Below are 9,319 nucleotides of genomic sequence, written 5' to 3' on the forward strand. Positions count from 1 at the left end.
CAGTCTGTTCCAGATAAATGAATGCTGAGAGAGTTCGCCACTACCAAGCCAGCACTACAAGAACTGCTTAAGAAAGCTCTAACTCTTGAAACAAATCCTCAGAATGCACCAAAATAGAACCTCCTTAAAGCATAAATCTCACATGAACTATATAACAATAGCACAATGAAAAAAACCCAAGGTATTCAGGCAACAAATAGCACGATGAATAGAATAGTACCTTACATCTCATTACTCCCATCGAGTGTAAATGGCCTAATGCTCCACTTAAAAGATATGGAATGGCAGAATGGTTAAGAATTCACCCACCTAGTTTCTGCTGTCTTCAGGAGACTCACCTAACACATAAGGACTCACATAAAGTAAAGGGGTGGAAAAAAATACTCCATGCAAATGAACACCAAAAGTGAGCAGGAGTAGCTATTCTTATATCAGACAAAACAAACTTTAAAGCAACAGCAGTTAAAAAAGACAAAAAGGGACATTATATAATGATAAAAGGACTAGTCCAACAGGAAAATATCACAGTTCTAAATATATATGCACCTAACACTGGAGCTCCCAAATTTATAAAACAATTACTACTAGATCTAAGAAATGAGATAGAAAGCAACACAATAATAGTGGGGGTGTTTAGTACTCCACTGACAGCACTAGACTGGTCATCAAGACAGGAAGTCAACAAAGAAACAATGCACTTAAACTATACCCTACAACAAATGGACTTAACAGATATTTACAGAACATTCTACCCAACAAATGCAGAATGCACATTCTATTCATCAGCACATGGAACATTGTCCAATATAGACCATATGATAGGCTACAAAAGAAGTCCCAGTAAATTTAAGAAAATAAAAATTATATCAAGTACTCTCTCAGATCACAGTAGAATAAAATTGGAAATCAACCCCAAAAGGCAACCTCAAAATCATGAAATATGTGGAAATTAAATAACTTGCTCCTGAATGATCAGGAGCAGGTCAACAATGAAATCAAGATGGAAATTAAAAAATTTTTGAACGATAACAGTGACACAACCTATCAAAACCTCTGTGATACAGCAAAAATGGTGTGAAGAGGAAAGTTCATAACAATAAATGCCTACATCAAAAAGTCTGAAATAGCACAAAAAGACAACATAAGATCACATCTCATGGAACTGGAGAAATAAGAACAAACTAAACCCAAAGCCAGCAGAAGAAAAGAAATAACTAACATCATAGCAGAACTAAATGAAATCGAAATAAAAAAATACAAAAGATAAATGAAACAAAAAGCTGATTTTTTGAAAAGATAAATAAAATTGATAGACTGTTAGTGAAACTAACCAAGAAATGAAGAGAGAAGATCCAAATAAGCTCAGTTAGAAATGAAACGAGAGATATTACCACCAATACTACAGAAATACAAAATATTATTCAAGGCTACTATGAACACCTTTACACACATAAACCAGAAAACCTAGAGGAGATGAATAAATTCTTGGAATTATACAACCCTCCTAGATTAAACTAGGAAGAAACAGAAACTCTGAACAGACCAATAACAAGTAGCAAGATTGAAACAGTAATTTAAAAAATTGCCAACAACAACAACAACAAAAGCCCAGGACCAGATGGATTCACAGCTGAATTCTATTAGACATTCAAAGAAGAATTGGTACCAATCTTACTGAATGAAACTACTCCAAAAGATAGAAAAAGTGGGAATCCTCCCCTAAATCATTCTATGAAGCCAGTATCACTCCAATAGCAAAACCAGGAAAGGATATAACAAAAAAAGAAAACTACAGACCAATATCCCTAGTGAACATAGAGGCAAAAATCCTCAACAAAATACTAGTGAACTGAATCCAATAGCATATCAAAAAGATAATTCACCGTGATCAAGTGAGTTTCATACCAGGGATGCAGGGATGGTTTAACATACGCAAGGCAATAAATGTGATGCCTTAAATAAACAGAATTAAAAGCAAAAATCACATGATCATCTCCATAGATGCAGAAAAACATTCAACAAAATCCAGCATCCCTTTATAATTAAAACCCTCAGCAAAATCGGCATAGAAGGGACATACCTCAATGTAATAAAAAGCCAACTATGACAAACTTACAGTCAACATTATACTGAATGAGGAAAAGTTGAAAGCATTTCTCCTGAGAACTGGAACAAGACAAGGATGCCCACTTTCACCACTCTATTCAACATAGTACTGGAAGTCCTAGCCAGAGCAATCAGACAAGAAAAAGCAATGAAGGGCATTCAAATTGGTAAAGAGGAAGTCAAACTTTCACTGTTTGCTGATGATATGATCGTAAACTTAGAAAACCCTAAAGCTTCATTCAAAAAGCTCCTAAAACAGGTAAATGAATTCAGCAAAGTTTCAGGATACAAAATCAATGTACACAAATCAGTACCTCTGCTATACACCAACAGTGACCAAGCTGCAAATCAAATAAGAACTCAACCCCCTTCACAATAGTTGCAAAATGATAAAATAAAATACTTAGGAATATACCTAACCAAGTAGGTGAAAGACCTCTACAAGGAAAACTACAAACACTGCTGAAAGCATAGATGACACAAACAAATGAAAACACACCCCATGGTCATGGATGGGTGGAACCAATATTGTGAAAATGACCATATTGCCAAAAGCAATCTACAAATTCAATGCAATTCCCATCAAAATACCACCACCATTCTTCACAGAACCAGAAAAATAAAATCCTAAAATCCATATGGAATCAAAAAGAGCCTGCATAGCCAAAGCAAGACTATGCAAAAACCTATGTCTTTATTATGAATTACCTCTTTTTTAAAGTTAACTATAACATATTTTTATTACTGCAATGAAAAGGAGACTTAACAGTTACACAACCATCTAAAATACTTCTCATTTACCAATTGCCAATTATGTTCCAAATGGTGGCTTTCCACTTTATCAGCTGATCTATTCCAGGTGCTCTCAAAAACTTATAAATCCCTGAAGGACAATTTCTGAACAGCAACTAGAAGTGAACAAAATAGCAAGAAACACTATACTCATAAAGTACTTTCCTATCACATTTTTCCCTCATCCTGGAAAAACGTTTTTTCTCCCATTGCTGATCTAAGCATCTCTTTATAATGCATGCCATCTACCTTTTTGGACTTATTTTCAGCTGGCAGATAGAAGCAAACTATATCCATTAGATTTCTGCAGCTTCTTCATCATTGGTTTTATTCATATGACACAATTAATATGTGGTCACCCACTTGGCTCTTAGGAAAGTATGACCCTGGTTTAAGGCCAGAATTTTTTCAGGAAAGAGATAGGTAGATTCTGATAATTAGAGGCTTGCTGTTGAATACTTTCCAGCCCTGCAAACCAATACTTGTTGTTTATTGAAAATCTGAAACCTGAGATTATGGCAGTACCCCAAGAGACTGTCATTTTTTTTTTACTGTTGTGGGGAAATAAGACCTCCAGAACTTCTCTCTGTTAATCAGTTCAGGGTCTGGAAAATATACCCTTGGAATATATACACGCACATACACACACATATTTATTTATAAAATCAAAATATGTATCATAATATATCATTGGGATATATATCTATATATAATATAGATATATCATATGTGATATGTATGATAGAAGTTGTAGGCTCAGTCCACGCTTAACTTGGAACCTTATAATCTTATTTCAGAAAGCCCTAGGGTAAGTGGAAGAACATCATGACACATGTGGATACAACTTTGTGATGTAAACTAGATTAACAGGAGGTGTCAGTGGATTGGAGAAGTATATGCAGTGTATAGCGAATACAGAAGCAGGTCAGCTCCTGCTGCTTCAGCTGAAGTCCAGTACCCACGCCACTCACTTGCTGTTTAGCTCCAAGTTCTGAATCCCTGCCACCAACCTGCCATTTTGTCCCTGGTAATATAAGCAATCCAAAACCATGGTTTTGAACTTAGTTGCTGGTAATTTGGTTGGCTAGATTTCCTGAAAGCTTTCCAGGTTTTCACCTTCAATCACCTAAATATGCTGGATAAAAAAGAAAATAAGTCATTTTAAACCCACAGTTAAGCCAAGAAGAAAGTATGCGTCATCTTCAAAGTGCAAAAATGAAGCAGGGGCACCAATCCAGAGTTGAGCCTTTGCTGATACACGCTGCATGACTAGATTCTAGTCTTTCTTATAAACTAACCGTATCCCCTCCTTTGAGTAATGTGAGAGGACGTTCAGATATTCTATAGTTTTTGAATGAGCATCTATTACATACCAGGTGCTATTTTGTGTTATCGTATGTGTACCTGTCACAATAACCTTAGGGAACAAAGTCAGGGGCCCAGGCAGTTTGAACAGGTGGATTGCAGATCCCTGAATCAAATTCAGACACCACAAATAGCTGTTCCTCACTAGAATTGTGGATGGGAATAAAATATGTCCTGAAAATAGACTTTTTTTTTCTTGGTTTTGGATAAAGAAAAAAAATATCGTGGAACTGAAAGCAAGTCTTGCTGCACAAAAACATGTTATTCTTCCTGTTGATTTCTTGAAAAAGAGCCTAATTTTTATGTCACTGAGAAAATAGTTTAACACAGTGGCTGGAGTTTTAGCTGATGGATCACAGATTTCCTGGGGGTAGGAGTAGGAGTTCACACCCCAGATACCTTTATCTACATCACTTCCTCCCCGGCATAATATAAGTAAGATAATGCCTGGGAAATCCTTCAGGGACCCAGGCTGTCCAAAATTTCATAGGTAATTGCAAATTTTGAATCTCTCAATGAAAACTGCTGTTTAATATTTAAGTATAAAATATTTGAATGTTTGTATTTAAATCAGAAATAGAAAATGAGGTATTGCATTAGACTGCTAGCAGACTAAGTTCCTGACAAGCCTGGAGGTAGCATACTGTCCACCCATACATTTGGAGCCCTGGGCAGTGGGGAAATGTTTCTGGGTTGCACAAGTCCCACTTGGACCCCTGTGATCTGCTTCCTGGGCTGCTTCCCAGTACGTGCCTCAACAGAAAGGCTGTCAGTGTGTTACAACCACTATTGGTTCTTGTTCCTCTTTTGACAGGTGTGAGAATGTCTCTATCCCCTCCAGAGCCCTACGGAGTCTTAGCTTTTTCTGCTCCTATAACAGAATACCACAGACTGGGTGGTGTTTTATAAATAAAAGAGATTTGTTTGGTTCATGGTTCTGGAGGTTGGAAAGTCAAAGGTTGAGGGGCCACATATGCTGAGTGCCTTCTTGCTGTGTTGTAACATGGCAGAAAGTATCACATGGTGATGACAGAGTGCATGAGAGGGTAAGAGCATGCAAGACAGAGAGAAAATGGGGCTGAACTTATCTTTTCATCAGAAGCCCATTCCCTTGATAACTAACCAACTCCCACAATCACGGCATTAATTTGTTTTGGAGGGCAGAGCCTTCATGACCTAATCACCTCTTAAAGATCCCACCTACTAACACCATCACAATAGCAATGAAATTTGAACATGAGTTTTGGAGGGGCATTCAAACCCTAGCACACGGCTTCTGAGACCCATCTAGGACTTTTGAATAAAGGGGAAGTTGTCAGGATTATTTTACAAAGGAAGAAAAAAATGTAAATGTTGATTTACATTTTGCTTGGTTCTAAATGAGTCCAGTAGTCTTTTCTGGGACTTTTAGGTCAGTGATGTTTAATACTTTATTTTATAATAAAATGAAGGAATTATCTGGAAGAATAGCAGGGAAAAGACAGAAGAAATGGCGGGGGGCGGGGGTCGAGTGGCAAAGCATCTGCTGCAGTACAAGAAATGGACTTGACATATCTGGGACCTAAGAAAGTGTCTTGACTTCCTTGGCACCTCACTCAGGCTTGCTCTTCCAGAACTTCTCTCTCCTCACCGGGTCAGAGTCTGGAAAAAGTTCTTTGTCTTCATTTGTCCCTCACATGAGTGATTCTCACTGAATTTTCCTTAATCCGAGAAAAAATGGAAATTCTTCTAAGAACTGGAATAAGGACTCTTCATGGGAGAATGGCACTGACACACAGATTTTTAAAAAATAGAAAACTATGAAGTCAGTGTTTTTCAGTCTTCTTTTCATCTCTCCATATTTTGTACCCCACAAGAGCCATGTTAGACATTTTCTTCCATGTCACTCCTTCCCCATTAGATGCTTTAATACCACAAGTATTCTGTACATCTGTTTAAGTTCAATGGCCCAATAAACCATTGTAATATCTACATTTTTGATCACCCCCTTAGACATAATTTTTCCCATGAAGGCATATTGCCCCACCGAGACTGCATGAGTTAAGTGAATATCTCCGCTTTCAATACGTTGTTATTAACGTGGAATAGTAAAGAGAACACTCAATTTATAATCACTCAATTGATAGAACACTCAATTTACAATCCTGTGGAGGATTAGAGTACCAACTCTATCCTGTACTCTGTTATTTTAGAAAAATTATTCAATTTACTTGAATGTCAATTTTTTCACATATAAAATAGGGTTAACCTTAAGATACTAAGCAAACAAACAAACAGAACAGAACAAATCTTATCTGCTTCCATCGTAGAGTTGTTGTGAGAGTGAGGTGACTTGTCCTGAGATAAGTCACCTTATCAAGTCCGAACTCACTACAAACGCCTCTAAGCTCTTTCTTCACAAGACTAGAGTCTTTGTATTATTAACATAGACTATGTTATTTCTCAAGTGTTTGCACAGTAGAAATAAGAATGTGGCCATGAGCTCTGCTGTTTCAGTTAAACAACCAACCAGATAAGTTTCTTTAGTGGAGACTCTGTCTAAGCATAAGGAACTCATGCTTTATGGAGGAAAAGGTCACAAAGGGAAATCTTGGAATATTTTCTTCTTAGAAACTCTAAAAACAATATCAAGCATTGCTTGACTTCAGTGAATTATTTTCAGTCAAGGACTGGATGAGGTGATGGTTAATCATTTCTCTAACATTTAATTCATTGCTTTTCTATAAAGAACCTAATTATTAATAGGCAATCCAAGACTTTAATGTAAATGTTGTCAACCTAAAGTAGGAAACTGACACAAAATTAATATAGAGAGTTTATTTGGGCCAAGGTTGAGGACTGCAGCCCAGGAAACACTAGGAGATGCTCTGGAGAACAAAGGAGAGGCTTGAGTTTTTAAAGAAAAAAAGGACGAATCAGGAGGGGAGCAATTACAAAAGCTGTTTGCCAGAAATTCTCATTGCTTTACAGAAATAACATTGATTGGTGATTGGCTATACATTGGTGAACGATAAGGTGTCAGTTATGGTTTCCAGGATGGGGCATTGTTAGGTTAATATACAGCTATGGGGGGTGACACTCTGTTTAGAGTCCATAAAGGAGACAGCTTTGAAATGATTACTTAGCTCAAAAGGGGGCGGGACATGATTCACATTTCCATGCCTCTTTGGGCTTGATAATTTAAAGGAGCCTCATCTTCCTCAGATAAGTTTCCTTTCTTTCTGAATTATTATTTCTAACCCTAGCTTGTTAAGTCCAACATCTATATGTTGGTTTTATAATTAAATTAAATGCATTTATTTTTCAACCCTTCACAACTCCTAAAATACACAGTTGGTTGAAAAATAGTAATACGTCTAACATTTATTGAGCACATGGTGTATGCCAGGACCTTGACTAGTGTTGGAGTCATGGTTTCCAATCCCTGTGGCAACCTGTAGCATTAATATTATACACCCTATCAGTTACCCATTGAACAACAATCATTTTATTTCCTTTCAATTCAGTGGGTCAGCAATTTGGTCTGAGCTTAGCTGGGCAGTTCTTCTGCTGATCTGGGTTGGGGTTGCTCATGTGACCTCAGTTCATGATTGGGTTGCCTAGGGGCTAGTTTGATCTAGCAGGCCTTTTTTTCTGTTCCACATGGTCTCTCTTTCTCCAGTGCATCAGCCTGGGCTGGTTCTGTCAGCTGCAGCACTTCAAGAGGCCAAGCATAGAAGTGGCATTGTAACTAATGCCTGGCCACTTGTTGCCTGAAAACCAAAATTTCAAGGGACAAGCTTTGGTGAAAGGAAAGTTAGGTTTTTTCGAGAAGCCAGCAACTCAGGGGAGGCAGTGAACTAGCAGCGTTCAAACACCGGCTCTCCAACTTGTGTCTCTTGATCGGGGTTTTTTTAAGGAAAATTAGGAGAAATGATGATGAAAATATTCTTGTGAAATGTGTGCATTCTCAGGTGAGCAGTTAAACATTGCTTTCTTGGTCAATTTTTGTGGCCTTCTGAAGGTGCTGTCAGCCTGTTCTGATCTGCCCAGTCAGCCCTGTCCCAAAGTTGTTCGTTGGCATATTTTCTTTGATCTCTGTTGAAGGTTCTATTTTCCTGAGGTAGTTTTTAGTGAATATTCAACAAACTCAAGTAAAGCAATAATTATATTCAAGTAAGCAAGCTTTTACCTGACATGAAGTCAGTACCGTTATACAGCACAGCTTCCTGAGACCTAGACTCAGAAATCATGCATCACTTCCACAGCATTCTACTGGCCAACACACATGGTGAGGCCAGCCCAGATGCGGGGAGAGTGGAAATAGAGTCCACCTCTTGGTAGGAGGAGCTGCCAAGAATTTGTGGCCATTTAAAAACTACTACCTACACTATCACTGATGAGCAACGTGGGACTCAGGGATGATGTCAGATGTCCAAGATCTCACAGCCAGCAAAGAAGTAGCAGGGGTGAGCTGGGAACTGAAGATATTTCTGATTCCAAAGTCTACACTGTTTTAACTACATAACATTGCATTCAATTTACTTTATACACATCTGAATTTCTCAAAGCCCTTGTTAGGGGCTTAATTGTGTCCCAACTGTGCTTCCCTTTCCCCAGCCAAACCCATGTGTTGAAATCCGAACCCGCACACTTCAGAATGTGATTATCTCTGGAGATAGGGCCTTCAAAGAGGTGATTAAGTGAAAATGAACCATCCGGGTGGGCTGTAATCCAGTATGACCAGCATCCTTGTAAGAAGAGGAGATTGGGACACAGACAACATACAGAGGCATGTGAAGACAGAGGGAGAAGACGGCCATCTACAAGCCAAGGAGAGAGGCTTCAGAAGAAACCAACCCTGCGGACACGTTGATCTCAAATTTCTAGGCTCTGCAACTGTGAGAAAATAAATTTCAGTTGTTTCAGTCACCCAGTGTGTGGTCTTTTGGCAGCTCTGGCAAACTAATATGGCCCTACTATTTACCTTGGTTTATCTGATATTCATAACAACTTTATAAGGCTGGTACTATTAATCTTATAAGACCACAAAAGTACTTAACCTTTATAAATACAA

The 9,319-nt window shown here is 38.1% G+C and overlaps 1 annotated feature.

Moving 5' to 3' along the window:
- Positions 5,150 to 5,359: an enhancer, noted in NCBI's record as "active region_27583". NCBI's record gives its function as "activates an Ori minimal core promoter by ATAC-STARR-seq in GM12878 lymphoblastoid cells {active_cell/tissue: GM12878}" and the evidence as "EXISTENCE:reporter gene assay evidence [ECO:0000049][PMID:35858748]".

This window comes from Homo sapiens, chromosome 8 (assembly GCF_000001405.40).
Source record: "Homo sapiens chromosome 8, GRCh38.p14 Primary Assembly".
Lineage (NCBI taxonomy): Eukaryota > Metazoa > Chordata > Mammalia > Primates > Hominidae > Homo > Homo sapiens.